Source organism: Homo sapiens, chromosome 9 (genome assembly GCF_000001405.40).
Source record: "Homo sapiens chromosome 9, GRCh38.p14 Primary Assembly".
Lineage (NCBI taxonomy): Eukaryota > Metazoa > Chordata > Mammalia > Primates > Hominidae > Homo > Homo sapiens.
Genome location: NC_000009.12, coordinates 68,989,723 through 69,011,271, shown reverse-complemented (window position 1 = coordinate 69,011,271; position 21,549 = coordinate 68,989,723). Strand labels below are relative to the sequence as shown.

Below are 21,549 nucleotides of genomic sequence, written 5' to 3'. Positions count from 1 at the left end.
TGGCTAACATTGCAAAACCTCGTCTCTACTAAAAAATACAAAAATAGCTGGGCGTAGTGGCATGCACCTGTAATCCCAGCTACTTGGGAGACTGAGGCAGGAGAATCGCTTGAACCTGGGAGGCAGAGGTTGCAGTGAGCCGAGATCGCATCACTGCACTCCAGCCTGGGTGACAGAGTGAGACTCTGTCTCAATACAACAAAACAAAAAACCAACTATTACCAATAAAGTTTTGTTAAAAAAGAACTGGCAAAACTAATCTATGATGCTGGAAGTCATAATAGTGACCTTTGAGGATGGCATTGGTGGAGAGGGGACATGAAAGAGCCAGCAGGTGGCCAGGCACGGTGGCTCACGCCTGTAATCCCAGCACTTTGGGAGGCCAAGGCGGGCGGATTACGAGGTCAGGAGTTCAAGACCAGCCTGGCCAACATGGTGAAACCCTGTCTCTATTAAAAACACAAAAAATTAGCCAGGCATGGTGGCAGCTGCCTGTAATCCCAGCTACTCGGGAGGCTGAGGCAGGGGAATTGCTTAAACCCGGGATGCAGAGGTTGCAGTGAGCTGAGACTGCACCACCGCACTCCAGCCTGGGCGACAGAGCGAGACTCTGTCTCAAAAAAAAAAAAAAAAAAAAAGCCAGTAGGTTAGCTGCAAATGTTTTCTATGCGCTTTAGGTGCTGGGCACATGGGTCTACACATATGTAAAAATTCACTGGACTATACAATTCATAGCTGTGCACTCTAGCATATGTAAGTTATACCTCAGTCATTAAAAAACGGTTGAAAATGTTGAGGTTTTTTGAGACAGGTGAGACAACACAGGCAGGCCACGGGTGATTCAAGTGGGGATAGAGTTTTGAGGATCACAGCCTCATGGTATTGAAACGGCTTTTGAGTTAGGTCTTAAAATAAAGGTTCTTAACATTTCTTGGGTCCAGGTCACTGTGAATTTGATAAAAAGTATAGTCTTTCTCTTCATGAAAAAAAAAACACCCCATATACACAAAAGCATACCCAACTTGTGTATATGATTTCATGGCCCTATTAACATTTATCTATGACTCTTCTAGAAATCAGTGGGTCCTAGGCTAAGAACCCTGCTTAAATGGGTAGATTTACAAATGGGAGGGGGGAAGAGTGGGATTCACCTATGAAAACCCATGTAGTAAGGGAGAGTGGTAGCACATATGAATACTAGAGAGAGGCAGAGGATCCTCAATCATCCACTTCTGCAGAATTCCCTGTTGACATCCTAACCTAGGATGTAAGACATCCTAGCTTTCCAGCACTGACTCTGCAGGTGAAACTGCTACTTATGCTGAGTAACTATGGCTCTGGGCTACATTTACAAAAGTTTACAGCATGCTTGCTTACAAGAATCAGCTTGTTTTAACTCGAAGTATTTAACACTGAGCATCTTACTCATCAGGAATATCTTTCTGCAGCCTTGATCATTTTGCTTTCTAATGATTTTTCTCTCAACCTCTTATGTCTCTGTTGCTAGGGACACTTACCAGGTGGTGTAAACTGTATTAATTAATTAAAATATTCATTGCTGAGTCCATTCCCATGTGAGAAGTGTACATCCCACACCTTTGACTCCAGACCTGTCAATGTCACTCATGTTGGTGGATGGAATGCAAGTAGAAATGCTGTCAGCTGCACTGAGACAGAAGCTTTGTGAGCTCTCATTGGTTCCACCATTGCTCTTTTTCTCTGCCATGAAAGTTGCCTGTCCCACATAGGGGCTGCTCTGGACCCCAGAATGAAGAAGACTCTTGGAGCAGAGCTGCAGCTGGTCCCCACATGTGAGGGAGACGTAAAACTATGTTGGTGAAAGCTCCTATGATGTTGGGATTGTTTGTTACCATAGCATAACATAGTGAAAGCTGACTAATATACCAGGACATTTGGGAAAGTCTTTGGATGAGTTCAGCAGAAGCTGCTATTGAAGTTTTTCCCATTTTTATCCATCATGAAATTCAGTTTATTTAGGATTTCTGAATATCTCAAATGAGGAGTATTTGGGTTATTTTTAATAAAAGAAGAAATGGAAAGACCATAAATCACTGGAATCGATGTACCACCACAATTGAGAACAAAATATTTTATTTCTCTCACAAAACTATAGTTTACAGTAGTATTTACTAAATAAATTATATAATTTCTCTTTTACAAGCAATAAACTAGATCACAAATATTTCAAAGACAATGTATGTACACGACATAAGGCCTTTTATAAATAGCTTTGCTTTTCTCATTTCACTAGTAAACAGTGAAAAAATCTTTATAGAAGCTAGTTTTCTATAAAGTGAAGGCAGACCTAGTATATTGATCTTTAAATGAAACCAATTTAAACTTTCAATGACATGAACTATAATTTTGCAAAAGAATTTATACTTAATTTACCATGTGTGTGGATGGATTTTTAAAAATATATAAGCAGATTACATATGTTGCTTATGTATAATCACTGGATGCATGCACAATGAAATAATGCAAAAGTCCATAGGAAAATAGCACTTCCAACTCCAAAAAGGTGATTGGCAATGGTACAGAAAGCAGCTTAAATATAGTTCATGCAGTTCTTCACAGTTCAGCAAGCAACAGCAAATGATAGAATAGGGTAGTATTTTTCACATCCCATCTGCTGATCAGCCTGAAGTTGACATCTTGAAAACTCTTAAGTCAGGTTGATGATTTCTCTGTGTGTAGTGGGGCTCAGCCAAGTTGCTGTGGATAATTCTGGTGCGGAGAAACTTCTCTGCCATAACTGTGCTCACGTCTCATCCATGTGCTTAGGTGATCACCATTTTCACTTACTGGGGGGAGCAAAAAAGCAGGTGTGAGACTAGATTTTGGCATCAATTTGTAACCTCTCCCCATGAGTCGCAACATAAGTTCGTTATTTCTCCCAATCACTTGTGTCTGGAAAATGGGGTGCATTATGTTTGGGATTCTTCTGCAATGATCAGCATAGCATATACTTCTTTGGTGGACCTGAAACCTGTTAATTACACCAATGTTTATCAAGATTGAGTCCTGACTACATCACAGCACTGTGCTCGGGACTTGGAAGGAAGCAACACTGACTAAGACACCCTCCTGCCCTCCAAGTGCACAGGGATGAGGGGATGTGCTGTGGTATATTAGATCTGAAGCCAAAAAGAACAACTTGAACATGGCCTTGAACTTGTAAATGTTTTTTTCCAAACAATATCACTGTGGCTGGGTGGTAACAATATGTTCAGCAAATGGTAGCTATTTAAATGGTAGCTATTTAAAATCAGAGCCAGCTAACTCAACCTGTGACAGCAGCACTATGATATATGTGGGGAAAGCAATATTATATTCAGCCTTTAGAGACAGACACATTGGGTCAAATCATCTGATTTCCTATTTTTTTTTTTTTTAGATGGAGTCTCACTCTGTTGCCCAGGCTGGAGTGCAGTGGCAAGATCTCAGCTCACCGCAACCTCTGCCTCCCACGTACATGAGATTCTCCTGCCTCAGCCTCCCGAGTAGCTGGGACTACAGCTGCCTGCCATCACGCCTGGCTAATTTTTTGTATTTTTAGTAGAGATGGGGTTTCACTGTGTTAGCCAGGATGGTCTTGAACTCCTGACCTAGTGATCCGCCCACCTTGGCCTCCCAAAGTGCTGGGATTACAGGCGTGAGCCACCTCACCCGGCCTGATTTCCTAATTATTTCATCTGTAGAATATTATGCAACATCTTCTTGGAACCTTGTTGTTTCATCTATAAAGTGGAGGTAACAAACTCTACTTTATAGGGTGGTGGTGAGGGATAAATTTTTCCATGGGGAAAATGAAGTGTTTTACACACACACGATATACACAAATCATATATTTATAATTGAGTACTGTACCTGGCATGTGCTAGTACCCCCAAAATTGTAGTGAAGAAGGTTGGAGCTGGGGGTCACAGAGACTGGTGCAGCTCAGCACCTTTAATTGGAGGCTTGAAAAAACTTGAGTAAAAAGTTTGAAATAACTGAAAATTATTAGGAAAGAGAACATGTCACATACAGGGAATTCTGTTTAACAATTAATATTTTATCTGAGACTATTGTGCACTGTAATTTTTATGAACTTACTATTTTGTTTTATACGTTGGCCGCTCCCTCTCATTCACCTAAGCTAGAAAGGTTTGCTTGGCTAAATGCACAACATGGTCACGCTGTTACTCAAAAATAATCTGTAGGAAGAGGTGAGTGTAAGGTGCTATAAGCTATAGCAGTGGGCAAGTGGGACGTTGCCCACATTCCCAGGATAGCTGTCTTTAAGGTGGACTGGTGGATTTCATTCAGCCTCAGTCTGATAACTTTGATGTATGGTGCAGGTCTCTCACAAAACCAGTGACATACAAAACAACCCACATAAAATGATGAGGTCCTACTGATTAGATTTAGAAGTCCTGCGTTCTTAAAAAACAAAGCAGAATAAAAACAAAAAGAGGTGATAGTTTTGCTTTCCTCGTTCTATAGATCACACTGGAGTTCTGTGTCTCATTTCCAGTGCCAGACTCTGAGAGGGACAGTGAGTAACCTGAGTGATGCCTGAGGAGATCCACCAGTGAAGGGCCCTGGAGCCAGGACCCCAGGGGAATGGCTAAAGGCCTGGGCTTTTTGGTCTAGAAAATAGGAGAGGTAGAGACAGGGCATAATAGTTGTCTTTGAGTCTCTGAAGACTAGCCTCAGGGAAGAAAGGCTTAGGTATTAGTTTAGTCCCGGTATTGCTGAAAGATGTGACACTGTCACCAGCAATAGTGGCACAGATGCTGTGATCCTGGGGTCGGGAGGTGAGTGGAATCTCAGAATGTGTGAAGGGCGTAGAGTTGTAAAGCTGCACCCCCTCCACTCTTTCTTCATTAAGGATCCTGAAATTTATGTCCTCCCCCAGCACATGTCATGTGTACATGACGCAAGCCCTCCCTAGATACAAGGGCCCAGCATGCCATCTGCTGAGACTCAGTGGTTGAGAATGATCCCAGAAGCCAGAACCCAGGACAACTGCATGGAAGCCAGTTTTTTCTCAAGCTAGAAGTGCTTTTTAACCGGAGTAAAAAAAATGAGTGGGCTGGGTATGATGGGTCACGTCTATAATCCCAGCACTTTGTGGGGCTGAGCCCAGGAGTTCAAGAACAGCCTTGGCCACATAGTGAGACCCTGTCTCTACAAAAATAAAAAATAAAATAAAATAATTAGCTGGGTGTGGTGGCATGTGCCTGTGGTCCCAGCTACTCAGGAGGCTAAGGTGGGAGGATTGCTTAAGCCCAGGAGTTTGAGGCTATAGTGAGCTATGATCACACTGCTGCATTCCAGCCTGGGTGACGGAGAGAGACCCTGTCTCTAAAGAAAAAAAAAAAGAAAGAAATGAGTGGTCACTAAAGAAGGAGCAGTTGCTGTCACTTAGGGATCAGCCCCAGGAGAGCTGAGGCAGAAACTGTTTATCCTGACCCAGCACCCAGAAGGCACAGTAGAGAGGACTTGGGCACTTGTGGGTAGCTTGGGCCAGATGACTATGAAGTTCTGTTTCAACCACAAGATCCCATTAAAAATTGTCTGTAAAGTCCGGGTGTGGTGGCTCATGCCTGTAATCCCAGCACTTTGGGAGGCCGAGGCAGGCGGATCACCTGAGGTCGGGAGGAGTTCGAGACCAGCCTGACCAACATGGAGAAACCCCGTCTCTACTAAAAATACAAAATTAGCCGCGTGTGGTGGCGCATGCCTGTAATCCCAGCTACTTGGAGGAGTATTGCTTGAACCTGGGAGGCGGAGGTTGTGGTGAGCTGAGATCGCACCATTGAACTCCAGCCTGGGCAACAAGAGCAAAACTCCATATCAAAAATAAAATAAAATAAAATAAATTGCTGTAAATTTATACCACTGAATAACTCAGAATACTGTAAACAGTTGGTGACTTATGCAACGGGAACGATCTGAAAAGAATTTAATACCTTGATGTCTCTCATAAAATTGGTTAAATTTATAGTTTAATAAAAAAACACACAGGGTCTTATAATAATAAAAGATACTCTCCTCAGTATTAAAAATAAAGAATGATTTCCAGCTTTGGTCATAAAATGTCCTTTGCATGCACACAGGAAGTTTAGTTTAGTTTTTTTTTTTTAAACTAAGGATGTCATAGAAGTTTCTATAAGCTCCTATAAACACTCACTCTCACCCTCAGGGCTCAAGAATGTCAAAATTGGGTGAGCACTGCCAACTCTCCACCCATGTTGTAATGTAATTCTTGGATGACATGATCTGGATACATGAACGTGTCTGTTTTGCATTAATTTATAACCCTGTTAAAATGAGATGGAGAGGTATCTGTGGGATCTGAAAGCACAGCGTCTTCTTGCTTGTAAACATGGCCACAGTGAGAAGTATGCAGAAACCATTTTATTATTCCTTCCTTAGCATAAAAGGTGCCATAATTTTCCTTCCTTCAAATTCATAACTCAGGAGTCCTATATTAGCCATCACTGCAGAGACACAAACATCAGTTCTCTACCCTGGAAGGAAACTAACTCATAGCTTGAGCTCATTCTTCAAAGTGTGGTACACGCAGAAGTCCCTTCTGCTCCCCAGCACGCAGATGGACTCTTCAGGGCATTATTGCCCAAAAGATTAGCAGCTTCTCCTCAAGGTCAACCAAGATTCAGACCCATCCTGACCGAATGGGTGTAGAGACTGAAATAAGGTTTGACCGCTCAGGGATCAGAGACCTCACGGGACTTGTCAGTGTTGTTCATCTTGGCCAACCTAACTGTGGTGAAGTTCCTCCCTCTCAGTGCTGGTGCTTTGGCAGAGGAGCTCAGAGACTACAGACCCTGGAGTGACATTTCAGCTCTGTCCCCAGGTGAACCTCTGTACACACACACACACACACACACACACACACACAAAAACACACACACACACGCCCACAAAGGTGCAGCATTTTTGCCTATGCACTGAGATACTCTGAGAATTCATGAACTATTTAAAATTCTGATACCTGACAGTAAAAAGTGTCGTTAATAGTTGCCATAAAAAGTAAAAGTAGAGTATTTCAGCCTAAATCCCAGTGTTATTCATCCCACACATATGTTGGGGTATAAGAAAGAGAAAGGTGTATTTTTATTTCTACCTAAAATAAAATGCTTGATTCTATGATTGAAACTACACAATAGTATGTACACAAGGGGTCAGAGATTACAAAGCTTTTCAATATTACAATTAAATAATTTTCAACATTTATTTTAAAAAGTTATTTAAAATTAAATAATTAAACACTAATACAGAGCAATAAGGGAAAACAGCAAATCAAAAGCAATCTGTCCACTAATTAACCCAGAAGCCCTTTCTAGGGGGCTGACTGTACTGTGAAGTCGGATCCCCTGGAGGGGAGCCCAGGCAGGAAACACTCCCAGGAGGGCTTCCCAACTCAGATGGCCTCGGTTTACTTTTCAGAGCCACAGGAAGGGCATGAGAAGGTGAGGAGTTTCTTTTCCAAGAAACTTTTTTCCTAGACTCATTCCTTCCACTCCTGCTTGCCTTTCTCAAGCCTTCCCTTGACACCCTTGCCCCCATCAACCGACTGGCTTACAAACATATCGAGAATTTCTGAACATCTGGGATGTGGTGTGAGGGAGTTTTAGGGCAGTGCTGAGAGAGGCGGAACTTCACCACAGTTAGGTTGGCCAAGATGAACAGCACTGACAAGTCCTGTGAGGTCTCCATGATCCCTGAGCAGTCAACCCTTGGGGTGATATCCCCCCCCCTTTTTTTTTTTTAACTATAATTACCTCAGGTTTCAGTCCTGAGGCCTTATTAAAGCAAGAGCTTTCTCTGGTGTCCAGGAAATCCTCACTTTGGTTTCAAGTTGAAATTCTTTGTCCCAAATATCTTTGACGAAAGCATCAGCTTTTCTCTCGGCCATCGTAGGCTTAGTCCCGTGTTTCATTTTCCTACACACAGCTCCTGTTTCTGTCATCAATTCTGAATTCTCTTTTTTTCCAGGTCTGCTCTGTTTCCTTTCTATTTCTATTGTCCTGATTCTTTTGTCTGATGTTCCTCTCGTTGCCATGAGATCACATCAACTCATCCCGCCTCCCTCTGCCCACGTTAGTCAAAACTCACACATCACCACAAATCCATATTAAGGCTCAGGATATCTCACCCCAACATCATCTCCTTGGCTCCGGGGTCCCCTTCATCTCTGGGTTCACCCGATTTCTTTCCCAGAGATCCCTGAATTTTATTTTATTATTATTTTTTGAGACAGAGCTTCCCTTTGTCACCCAGGCTGGAGAGCAACAGCATGATCTTGGCTCACTGCAACCTCCGCCTCCTGCGTTCAAGTGATTCTCGTGCCTTAGCCTCCTAAGTAGCTGGGATTACAGGTATGCGCCTCCATGCCCAGCTAATTTTTGCATTTTTAGTAGAGATGGGGTTTCACCATGTTGCCCAGGCTGGTCTTGAACTCCTGGACTTAAGTGATGGGCCCCTCTCGGCCTCCTAAAGTGCTGGGATTACAGGCATGAGCCACCATGCCTGGTTGAGATCCCTAAGTTTTAAACACAAGGTATCACCTTTGGGTTCTGGGAAGTCCAGAGTCTCTCTCTCTCTCTTTTTTTTAAATAAAGCTCTATATTTTATTATATTCATATCTATCCTCTATTGGGAATTACTTCACAAGGCACAATCATTTGGGGATGTAGTGCAGTGGGGGATTTCTCGTTGTATTGGATTCCAGTAGTAGCAGGGACCCAAAAGCTCACCATTTTGTTAGGCATGGAAACAAATACACGTGCTAGTGCTGCAGAATCAGGACATAGCAGTGTGAACAGAAGAAAATCACAGTGCTATGGAACTGCATTGCCGAAAGGAAACTTAGGCACGCTCAGATCCAAATTTCCTACCTTTGTACTTAAAAAATATATTTGGACGCAGCATTAGAGGTGACGTTACTCTCTTCCAAGGACCAGGGACTACAAGGCTTCAACCGAGAAGCCTTGAGGCAGAAGGCAGGACTTTCGCCATCCTTGAAGGATGTGTACAATTGGGATGAAGACAGCTATTTTGTTCCAGATCTGGTAGACTGTTGGTTGAATTCTGGGGTGTTGGCAGCACATGGAGTGCCAGGCCTCCTGCCGGCCTCCAGATGCCTCATTAAAGCATCCCACACTAAGCAGCAGGTAGATGAGCCATAAGGTGAGAGCAGACCCAAGACGCAGCTGACACTCGTCTGTGCCGTCTCCTGGGATGGATTTAAGATTTGGCCTCTCATTTCAAAACTGTTAATGTGGTAACATTTTAACACAGCTCCCTGACTGATTAATTTGTTTCCTAAGGACCCAAGAGAAGCCTGAGAGCATCAGTGATTTATACTGGTGGACAGTTCTGCAGTGGACTTTTCAGCACTTGAGTGACTCCTGCTAATTGTAAATCTGGGTGGTTACCTCATGATATGGTTTGGCTCTGTGTCCCTACCCAAATCTCATGTCAAATTGTAATCCCCATGTGTTGGGGGAGTGGTCTGGTGGGAGGCGATTGATTCATGGGGGCAGACTTCCCCCTTGCTGTTGTCATGTCAGAGTTCTCATGAGATCTGGTTGTTTGAAAATGTCTGGTGATTGCCACTTCTGTCTCTCTCCTGCCACTAAGTAAGATGTGCCTGGCTTCCCCTTCACCTTCTGCCATGATTGTAAGTTTCCTGAGGCCTCCCCAGTCATGTGGAACTATGAGTTAATTAAACCGCTTTCCTTTATTAATTACCCAGTCTTGGGTAGTTGTTTATAGCAGTGTGAAAATGGACTGATACACCTTATCATCTAACACATCACATAGATCTGTTGCTGCAACACAATCCACTCTGACCCCTGCTTCAGCCACATTTGAAAAATGTGGGGGGAGGAATATGGTACTGGTTTCATTTGAAAAGGAGCACTGCCTGAGGACAACGCCACTGGCTTCTCTCTCACCCACAGGAAGGAATGCACCAGAGGCCCTCTGCCAAGACCCAGAGGGTGGAAATTAGAAGCTGCACACCCAGGCTGGGTGTGGTGGCTCACACCTGTAATCCTGGCACTTGGGGAGGCCGAGGCAGGTGGATCACCTGAGGTCAGGAGTTCGAGACCAGCCTGGCCCACATGCTGAAACCCTGTCATTACAAAAAAAAAATAAAAATAAAAATTAGCCGGGTGTGGTGGCGTGCGCCTATAATTCCCAGCTACTCAGCAGACTGAGGCACGAGAATCACTTTAACCTGGGAGGTGGAGGTTGCAGTGAGCCAGGATTGCGCCACTGCACTCCAGCCTGGGTGACAGAGGAAGATTCCATCAAAAAAAGAAAAAAAAAAAAAAAGTTGTGCTCCCATCAAGCCTTTTCCATCTCAGCACTTTCCTCGGCGGCATTTTCCTTTACAAAAACACCCAAGTAGCTGTTACGGGCTAAACTGTGTTCCCCTAAAATTTCTATGTTAAAAGTCCTAACTGTTGTCACCACAGAATGTGACCTTATTTGGAGGCAGGGTCTTTATAGAGGTAATCAGATTAAAACGAGGCCACAGGTTGGGCCCTAATTCAATATGGCTGATGTCCTTATGCAAAGGGGAATTTTGGATACAGACACGTACAGGGGGAAGATGTGATGTGAAGACATAGGGAGATGAAGGCCACCTACAAACCAGCGAAAGGCTAGAACAGATCCTTGCCTCACAGCCCTCAGAAGGAATCCACCCTGCCAACACCTTGATCTTGAACTTCTGGCCTCCAGAATGACAAGAAAAGAAATTTCTGTTCAAGACACCAAATCTGGGGTACTTTGTTACAGCAGCCCTAGAAAACTAATAAAATAGCAACCACTGGGATTTAGGAAGTCTTTAAAAAAACCCCACATATTTTTATCTTATTATATTTAATTCTGTTCTCTACTAAAGTTACTTCAAAAGCCACAATCACCTGGGAGTTCCATGGCTGTAGGCGAGGACCTGTGGAAGACCGAAGGTGAAGAATGGCTTTCTCCACCCCAGATTTGTTGATACTTTGTTAAAATTGCTGCCTAAACAGTAGAAAGAAGCATTTTCTGTGTTGAATCCCAATCTGCCAAGGGAGCCTTTCAAAAAGGCTCAAGCAGAACTGGCCTTGATGGATGAGGGGGGCACACTTGGACCTGAGGGAAGGTAACACCTTCATTTTTGCGCCACATTGTAATTGTAGCCTCCAGTCCAACTTGAAAGGTGGTGGAGCTGGGCCTGTCAGAGTAAGCTGCCTTTGACCTCTGAAGGACATACCCCCGCCGCCTGCTGACCTTGCACGTACAACACTGAAAGGCTACAATCAAGTACATGGAGTGGGAACTCCATTGAGACACACACTTGCTCTTCATTACGTTTCAACTCTAGGGGCTCCATCACTCCTTCCCCGCCTTGATTATCAGTAGGTGGCAGTAGAGGGCTTGCTGAAAGCAGGAACTCATTGGCAAGCCCAGATCATAAACTTGAGGGTGTAGGAGCTTCCTAGGCTTTGCTTCTACATTAGAGGCACGTGTAATGGGACAGCTATCTTGCCAGGGGAGTCACACGGTTCCCCCTTACATTAGCATACAAGAATTCCAGGATGCTCAGAGCTGAAGGACCCTGTTAATAAGCTCAGGGGATCTCAGCTCTGGTGTGTGTAGAGGTTTAAAAAATACCAATGCCTCAGTCCACCCCCAGGGATTTTACTTCGAACACAAATTATGTCCCCAACAGGTGACTGACTCTGTTCATATAGTCATTTACCTGATACCTCTTTGTGAGGAATACAAACTAATTTGGAAACATCTATCTAACGTCACAGTGACAACCAGGGAGAAGGGAAGTGAACAAGAAAACGAGGCTATGTGTGGTAAGGAGCAGTTAATTCACAGGTCCCTCGGTAAGGTAGAGGGGTGGGCTGAATTGTGTCCCCCCAATATTCTTATCCACTTGGAGCCTCAGACCGTAACCTTATTTGGAAATAGGGTCTTTGCAGATGTAATTAGTTAAGATGAGGTCATACTGGATTAGGGTGAACCCTAAATCAAATGAGTGACATCCTTATAAGAAGAGAGGCCACACAGAGGCACAGAACATCACAGGGAAGAAGGCCATATGAACATGGCAGCAGTGACGCAGATCAAAGGACCAAGGGACATGTGGAGCCACCAGAGGCTAAAAGAGGGAGGGAAGGATCCTCCCCTGGAGCCTTCAGAGGAAGTGTGGCACTACTGACACCTTGATTTCAGACATCCGGCCTCTAGAACTGTGAGACAATCCATTTCTGTCTGTGGTCATTTGTGATAGCAGGCCTTGGAAACCAGCAGAGGCAGAAGCAGACCACGGGAAGCCAGGCCCTCAGCTGCCTACTCCTACTCGTGCCATTCATCACACTTGGGGGGCTTTATTTTTTATAAACCGAATAGTCCTTAAGCATTTTCCCATTCCCCCTCAGAGCCCAGAAGGGGAAATGGCACGAATGAGAACAGTCCTGTTTACTAGGTCCATGGGTGTGATCTAAACTTGTTTTCCTAAAAGTTCTTGTTTGTTCTAATCTGGTTCTTTCTAAGTCTGCTGTTTGTTTTCTGCAGGCTCAGGGCCTCGCAGACCCCAAGTTCACACCATTACAGGCTGTTCTTCCTCAAACACTATTCCCAAGAGTTGGAAAGTTTCCAGAAAATGGCAAACACTGGCTTTCTCTGACAAGGAAGACAAAAATAGAAACCACAAAGAGAAGCAATAGGAAGAGTCTAGAGGGATAAGGGAAGGGAAGAGAGGCCAGTCTTAGGAGGAAAAGAATGAAAAATGAGGGGCAACCCGCGCCTGGATGTATAATAATAAAAGACCCAGGCAAACTGGAGCAGAACTAGCTTTTAAGAAAGTGGAAATCAGCCGGGTGCAGTGGCTCATGCCTGTAATCCCAATTTGGGAGGCCGAGGTGGGCGGATCGCTTGAGGTCGAATTCGAGGCCAGCCTGGCCAACATGGGGAAACCTCATCTCTATTCAGCTAGGCATGGTGGTGTGAGTCTGTAGTCCCAGCTACTTGGGAGGCTGAGGCAGGAGAGTCACTAGAATCTGGAAGGTGGAGGTTGCAGTGAGCCAAGATTGCACCACTGCACTTCTGCCTGGGCAACAGAGATATCCTGTCTGAAAAACAAAAAAAAAAAAGAAAAGAAAAAAGAAAAAAAGAAAAAAAGAAAGTAGAAATCAAGCTAGCCTGCAAGCCAAGATTCACTGTAAAGCTAGGACCTAACAGAAAAAAAAAAAGAAAAAAAGCTACTGCAGCCCTGCAAACTGTCATTCAATTGCTAACTCTGAGCCTAATTGAACTGGAAAGCCAGTGTGCCTTTATAACTCCAGCTGGAATTCCCTACGCTAATCCTTAAACAGCAGTTTAATGCTGTTTGTTTTTTAAAAAAATCCTATGGGTGACCTCCTAATCTAGACTGACAGGTTGCCTCATTAATTTGAAGCTTGCGTCACTTTTATTTCAAGAATGGGAATAACTTGTAGATGCTGTGAGACTCGGGCAATGGGAGGTCCATTTTCTCAGCTCTTCCACATGTCTTAGAAATATTATTTGTCAATAACTTAGGGGCCAAGCATTTCTGGAAACAAACAAGGGCCCTAATTTATCCTTTCCAAAATCTCTTCACTTCTCAACAATGTGATCACCTGGCAGAAGGAAAGGGGCTTCTGGTCAAATGCCTTCTACACCAAACGCAGTGTTTGTCTTTTCTCCTTCCTACTCTGCTCTCACTAAAATCTACCAAAAACCCGAGCAGCATCTTTGGTTGGTAGGGGATCGAGTTCTCTCCTGAGAAGGAATAAGAAATGCCACTGTTTCAAATAAACACCCCTTGAAGCAGCGGATACTGGCTCCAACAAGGAATGATTAAAGAGACCCAATATAAGTCATTAACCTCAACGCTGAGGGATTCAAATCCAGAAATGCAGTTTCTTTTGCCAAAAAAGTTCCACTGAATTTTCTAAGACCCCTGTGACCTAATTTAAAGTGTTTTTCTTCTCTTTCTCACGCTTTTTCCATACATAATAGTATGATAAGCTGTTAATTCAATCATTTTCACTTCTCTGCCACCCTTCTTCCCATGATCAAAGAGTATTATTAACTACCCTGAAAACACATTAAATAATCAAGCCGTCCAACAGCTGCCCATCAGAGCGCTAATCTCCAATACTGGCGTGGCTAAAAAACAGCTTAACTGTTTCTTCTCCTTTGCTCACAGCTATTTTTGTATTTCAAACAGCCATTTTGCAGAGAAGCAAAACTGGATGAAAGTACATATTATTGAGAGGATGTTAATATGGAAAGTGTAAGGGCATAACCTTGGGTATGAATAGTAGAAGCAAGGAAGTCACTGTTTTCTGGCAGCCATCTTTCAAACTTCTATATTATTAAAAAAGCAATCCCATTATCTCCCACTTACCCAGCCATTCCCAGCTAGTCATAAAAGGATATTCTCTCCCAATACACTTTTCAGCAGAAATGGCTTTTTGTTGGTTGTTCCTCTTTCCACGAAAACCAAATTGCATTCTACATCAGGCAAAGAAGCCGCCTTAGAAACGGAAATAACAGCCACTGTGACAGCATCCGGTGCCTTAGAATATCTGGGACTATTTACAAAGTAGAATCTTGCTCTATTATGAAGACTGCGTGATTGCCCATTTTAAATCAATACAGCCTGCTCATCTCTGTGTATTCTTTTAAATACCCTAATCTGTGTCATCAACTCAAAATTCAATGAAAAACACATCTTTGGTCACTGGATAAAAATCATCTTAGAAAACACTTCCCTTGATTTGAATATTTGAAAATGAGTCAAATAGCTTGGGACTCTACAGTGTGAAGGTGAATGGCCTTTAAAAAGCCATGCAGAATAACTAGATACATAAAATCTGAACTAAATGTCTCACTAAGGATGATGGAACAATTAGCTGCCTTTTCAACTCACCAATCCTTTTTAATTTCATGTTGAGTTACAGGAAAAAGCAGGAGAGCTAGCCTAATGCACACACACATAATGTGTGGATGGATCCTTAAAAGGATATTTCATATGTTATCTGGTGGGCATACGTCATTTGGGTTTAAACTTATGTATTTTTACACAAAGGTAAATGGTATTATACATTACTGTATAAATAAAAGCACTAGGGGATTAGGCTACAACTACTAATAGAGAAATGCTATCTTAAAGGAGAAGAAGCATTACAAGAGAAACCTGACCACGTTTGGTGACAACACTGTACAGGAAGTCACTAGAGAAGCTTCCAACTGCCCTTCAGATAAAGATGGCTGTGATTCAGAGCACTCAAATTATGTCAAAAGGAAAAAAGAGACAATGCAAAGGCAAGATTGGTTTTCCTTTCTTGTGCTTTTCTTTTCCATTTTCTTTCTTCCTTTTTTTTTTTTTTTTGAGACGGAGTTTTGCTCTTGTTGCCCAGGCTGGAGTGCAATGGCGCAATCTTGGCTCACCGCAACCTCTGCCTCCTGGGTTCAAGCCATTCTCCTGCCTCAGCCTCCTGAGTAGCTGGGATTACAGGCATGCACCACCACGCCTAGCTAATTTTGTAGTTTTAGTAGAGATAGGGTTTCTCCATGTTGGTCAGGCTGGTCTCGAATTCCCGACCTCAGGTGATCTGCCCGCCTCGGCCTCCCAAAGTGCTGGGATTACAGGCATGAGCCACTGTGCCCGGCCTCCATTTGCTTTTTCATATGGAGATGCAAATGAAAATACTGAAGGGAGGGCAATGAGCTGTACCCTTTCTGATCTAGAAGAGCACGCAAAACAAAAAATAAAATTTTCCAGCATGAAAACACATTCTGGAATTACAAGTTAATGGTGCAGGACTTTCTAGATGTACTGCCATAAAATTTAAGTTTAAAGAATGTGAAAGTTTATGGTACAGGAGGTGATTAAACAGCAAAATTTGGAGAAACAACGGTAGATACTTTGGAAACCTTCCTTTTCTCTTTCTTTCTCTCTTTCTTTCTCCCCTCCCCTCCCTTCCCTTCCCTTCCCTTCTTCCCTTCCTTCCTTCCTTTCCTTCTTTTCTTTCTTTTCTTTCAATTTCTTTAGAGACCATGTCTCACTCCATTGCCTAGGCTGGGGTGCAGTGACTAGATCATGGCTCACTGCAACCTCAGACTCCTGGGCCTGAGGGATCCTCCAGCCTCAGCCTCACAAGTAGCTGGGACTACAGGCATGCACCACCAAGCATGGCTAATTTTTTTTTTTTTTTAATTTTTGTAGAGATGAGGTATCACTGTGTTGCCTTGGCTGGTCTCGAACTCCTGGCCTCAAGCAATCTTCCCACCTTGGAAAATCTTATTTCTATATCTCTTTGTAATTTAGAATGAACCTGATTTAATAATTCATTTTATAGATGAGAAAACTGAGATCACTGAATTCAAGGGAAACGATTAATGAGAGGCAGAGACCAGCACAGACTCCAGGTGCCTATTTGTCTCTAATTAATTTATGCTTCACTTGGTTTTGCAACAGGTGAAGAGACTAAGTTAAAATATGAGAAAAACTCTGTAGGGATCATTTCTGGGGGTCCATGAGGTCAAACTATTTTCCTAATAATACAAAGATGTTGTTTGCCTTTTTATTCTCATTCCCTTTCATGGATGTACGATGGAGCTTTCTAGAAATGAAATGATGTGTTATATATATCAAGAAGACAGATACAGAAACAGATGTGAGAATCTTTTTTCTTCCATTAAGCCAGACATTAGGGATTTGCAGAAATATAAAAGAATGCCACCTTTCTCACAAAATTTATTTTTGTTTTGGAAAATATAATAATATTCATAAAAACATTATTTAACATATAATAGATTACTGTTTTAAATTAATGAATACTTAAACAATTTTGGCTAGGTGCAGTGGCTCACTCCTATAATCCCAGCACTTTGGGAGGCCGAGGCGGGCGGATCACCTGAGGTCAGGAGTTCAAAATCAGCCTGACCAACATGGCGAAACCCCGTCTCTAGTGAAAACACGAAAAATTAGCTGGGCGTGGTGGCAGGTCCCTGTAATCCCAGCTACTTAGGAGGCTGAGGCAGGAGAATCGCTTGAACCTGGGAGGTGGAGGTTGCAGTGAGTCGAGATCGCGCCACTGCACTCCAGCCTGGGCGACAAGAGTGAAATTCCATCTCAAAAAAAAAAAAAAAAAAAATTCAGGAAAAAACAGTGAAAGAATTTTACAAAAAATATTCTCAATAAAACCCCCTCATTCCTTCCTTTCTGTATCCTTCCCTCACTCTTGTAAGACACATGATTCCAATGAGATGGACGTGAGACTTATATTTATGGTCAATAACAACAACAGGGTGCTCCTGGGTTCAAGTTTAGGCAGGACCACACATGGAGCTGAATTTGAGTTTTGGCTCACTTAGGAATATTGCACCTCCGTGACTGGTGAAAATCTAGTTTTTGTAAAGACACATGAAAGTGGCATGAATCCTTAGCTCATGAAGATGAGATTTTACTTAGCTTCTTTCTGAAAGGCTTTCCTGATTTCTGGTTCCAGATGAATCCAACATGGGACCAAAAATGTATTTTTTTCCCTATTTAATTCCCCATTTTCTTGGTTGGGGGTGGACCAACTTTTCTGTAAGGATTTTGTGATCTGCTACAATCTTATTTTTTTTAAAGCGGGGGCAATGGTAGGGTGGAGCATTGCTCAGTGCAAAAAAATTTGTTTATGCAAAAACTAGGATATTCAGAGAAAAAATCTTTTTACAACGGTTGGTGGGGGACCTGCTGTTTTACGTAGGGGGCGGTCAAGAAAAGCCTATCTGAAAAAGAGGTACTTGGGCTGAGACCTGAAGGAAGTGAGGGAGCATGGGATAGGTGGAAAAGAATACACAGACAGGAATGGCAAACACAAAAGTCCCAAGGCAGAGATGTGCTTGGTCTGTGAGAGGAACACCAAGGAGGCCAGTGTGGCTAGAATAGCATCAGCAAGGAAGAGGGAGACCCAGGGAGGGGGCAGGTCGGAGATGCAGGGGAGACCAGACCATGCAGGGCCTGGAGGACTTTTTTTTTTTTGGAGACGGAGTCTGGCTCTGTCGCCCAGGCTGGAGTGCAGTGGCGTGATCTCGGCTCACCGCAAGCTCCGCCTCCCGGGTTCACGCCATTCTCCTGCCCCAGCCTTCCGAGTAGCTGGGACTACAGGCGCCTGCCACCACGCCCGGCTAATTTTTCCTCTGTATTTTTAGTACAGATGGGGTTTCACCGTGTTAGCCAGGATGGTCTCGAACTCCTGACCTCCTGATGCTCCTGCCTCGGCATCCCAAAGTGCTGGGATTACAGGCGTGAGCCACTGCGCCCAGCCAGGACTTTTTTTTTTTTTTTTTTTTTTTTTTTTTTTTGAGACAGGGTCATGCTCTGTTGCCTAGGTGGGAATGCAGTGGCATGATCTCGGCTCATTGCAACCTCCGCCTCCCAGGTGCAAGTGATTCTCCTACCTCAGCCTCCTAAGTAGCTGGGACTACAGACATGCACCACCATGCCTGCCTAATTTTCCTATTTTTAGTAGAGATGGGGTTTCACCATCCTGGTCAGGCTGGTCTCGAACTCCTGACCTCAAGTGATTTGCCTGCCTCAGACTCCCAAAGTGCTGGGATTAGAGGCATGAGCCACCATGCCTGGCCAGGACTTTGGATACTACTCCAGTATTGCTAGGAGTAGCATCTTAGGTGACTGATGCCCTGCAGAGCACTTGTGAGAAATTACAGTGCTAGGTCAGGGATATGGAAAAGCATAAAATGCAGGCTCAAGGAGGCTCAGGGAGCTGCTGTGAGACATGCATCACTCGGTGCTGATTCCTGAAGTTGCACTTGTACACCAGGAGCGACACAGAGTATTGGCTCAGGTTTAGCAAAACTTAAAAAAACCCAGAAAATTCCAAAAGAACACTTCCCCTGTTTTATGTAATTTTGTGCAGGTAGGCCGGGTGCAGTGGCTCATGCCTGTAATCCCAGCACTTTGGGAGGCCAAGGTGGGCAGATACCTGAGGTCGGGAGTTTGAGACCAGCCTGACCAACATGGAAACCCCGTCTCTACTAAAAATACAAAATTAGCCAGGCGTGGTGGCACATGCCTGTAATCCCAGCTACTAGGGAGGCTGAGGCAGGAGAATTGCTTGAACCTGGGAGGCGGAGGTTGCGGTGAGCCGAGATCGCACCATTGCACTCCAGCCTGGGCAACAAGAGCAAAACTCTGCCCCCCCCCAAAAAAAATTTTTTTTTGTGCAGGCATACAAAGACGTAGCATACATGCAAGATGCACTTGGCACAGAAAATACTCTTTTACAGTGTAGCCCATCAGGGTATCTTTCTAGGCATTATCTAACAGTTCGATTAAGCTGATACAGGTAATTTGACAGGCACTAAAGGGTCACTCATGATCCTCAAAGCAGCCTTGTAAGGTAGGCAGGGTGGGCATTATTTCCCTCCTTAGGCAGTCAGAAAGGTTCCTTCCCAAATCACACAGCTGGTTGGTGACAACTGAGGAGAGAATCAGCCAAGATTCTCCAGCACTGAATTTGGGTTCTTCCCATGACCCAGTTCTGCGCCTCTCGGCCTACTAACTTACCAAGGGAGCAACGCCAACACACAGAAGATTCAAACATCAGGGAGCACGGCTGAGTCAAAGGGAAACATTTCCTCGCTGGGAATAACACTAAGGAGCCCTACTTTGCCTCAACATTAGAGGATTCGTTCTCTTGTTATACGTGGTGATTTCGTATTGACCTAGATGTTCTTTTGTGTAATAAATTGTAGGAAAACATTGCTTGTGAAAAGAAGCACCATTTGCAGAAGTGAAAGGGCGCCATCATTTCTTTTAAAACCCAAGCATGCCTGGTTTTATTGAACTTGTTCTTGTGTAAGCCATGGCCTGGATCCATTTACAAACCAGAAGTGGAGGAGAGGAAACTAAAAAATTACTTACTAAATAGACGTCAAGCACAGAAGCATTGTCATCCTGCACTTCCAGAGTGTTGGGCTCAGCGGTCAAGTAGATGGTCCCCTCTTCCAAGGTAAATGTTGAACTGGAAGGTAACCCTTTGCTGGAAAAATAAAGATGAATGATGGGCATGAGGCCCCCAGAACAAAATCTAAAGACACCTCCAAAGTCCTAAAGAGGGTGAGGTGGGCAGCTTTTGGGGATAAACAATTTTGAGAATTTGAAGGAAATATGGTTATGCCTGGAGACATGGTCACTTGAGTTTAAAGAGTTTGGGTTTAGCCCAGGCGCGGTGGCTCATGCCTGTAATCCCAGGACTTTGGGAGGCTGAGGCCGGCGGATCACGAGGTCAAGAGATCAAGACCATCCTGGCCAACATGGTGAAACCCCGTCTCTACTAAAAATACAAAAATTAGCTGGGTGTGGTGGTGCACACCTGTAGTCCCAGCTACTCAGGAGGCTGAGGCAGAAGAATCACTGGAACTCAGGAGGTGGAGGTTGCAGTGAGCTGAGATCGCACCACTGCACTCTAGCCCGGCAACAAAGTGAGACTCTGTCTCAAAAAAAAAATATATAGTATTCAGTTTTACTAGAAGTGCATTTTCTCTCTCTACCAGCACACGAGATACCTCATTGCATTTGGGAGAGGGGATCTGTGGGTCCCATGCCTTGTGAGTGGTGGGAGGATGTGAATCTAGGGGCTCATTAGTTATCTTTGACTTTGAATGATTAGTTCTTGCTGCTTCAATTTACAGTATTTACACTACCCTAGTTTACAAAAGATAACCTTGTGCATCATTAGCACTGATGATTTTTCTTTTTTTCCCCTTTTTACTCTTTTTTTCTTCTTTTTCAATTACATCAGTGGTTCTCAAACTTACATGTGCCTCAGAATCCCCTGGTGGGCTGGTTAGAATGAAATTTCTTGGATCCCTCCCACAAAGCTTCTGAGCCAGAGTCTGGCATAGAGCCCATGGATTTGCATTTCTGACAAGTTCCCAGGTGATGCTAACGCTGCTGGTTCAAGGACCACACTTGGAGTAGCAGTGAACCACATAAACACAGAGCACTGTGTTATGTCCTCTGTGAGGATAGCTGGAGCACACCCTTAGTAACTACGACAATACCAAAAGCCAAAGGAATGCAGGTAGACAGTATATTGGAGAGTCATCTGAAGAGAAGCCACCATTGTTTTGTTGTGATATAACCAGTGTTAACTGTTGAAACTGTTGAAGTAACTGGTCCTCTTGTTTTTTTTTTTGAGACGGAGTCTTGCTCTCTTGCCCAGGCTGTGGAGTGCAGTGGCGTGATCTCAGCTCACTGCAATCTCCACCTCCTGGGTTCCAGTGATTCTCTTGCCTCAGCCTCCCGAGTAGCTGGGATCACAGGTGTGCACCACCATGCCTGGCTAATTTTTGTATTTTTCGTAGAGACGGGGTTTCACCATGTTGGCCAGGCTGGTCTTGAACTCCTGACCTCAGGTGATCTACCCACCACGGCCTCCCAAAGTGCCAGAAATA

General features: G+C 43.9%; 1 protein-coding gene across 14 annotated transcripts in view, besides 1 other annotated feature; it reads right to left on the bottom strand.

Moving 5' to 3' along the window:
* Positions 2,096-21,549, bottom strand: part of PIP5K1B (phosphatidylinositol-4-phosphate 5-kinase type 1 beta) — a 303,937-nt gene continuing 284,483 nt past the window's right edge. For 11 of the 14 annotated variants that reach the window (XM_017015189.2, XM_047423951.1, NM_003558.4 and 8 more), the window contains 2 exons: positions 20,015-20,132; positions 2,096-2,825 (listed from right to left, as the gene is read on the bottom strand). In XM_017015189.2, the coding sequence (XP_016870678.1) occupies positions 2,823-2,825; positions 20,015-20,132 (121 nt within the window). In that variant the 3' untranslated portion in view covers positions 2,096-2,822. The remainder of the gene's footprint in view (positions 2,826-20,014; positions 20,133-21,549) is intronic. The other 3 variants (NM_001376040.1, NM_001278253.2, NM_001376041.1) reach the window with 1 other exon arrangement.
* Positions 12,079-12,208: an enhancer, noted in NCBI's record as "active region_28444". NCBI's record gives its function as "activates an Ori minimal core promoter by ATAC-STARR-seq in GM12878 lymphoblastoid cells {active_cell/tissue: GM12878}" and the evidence as "EXISTENCE:reporter gene assay evidence [ECO:0000049][PMID:35858748]".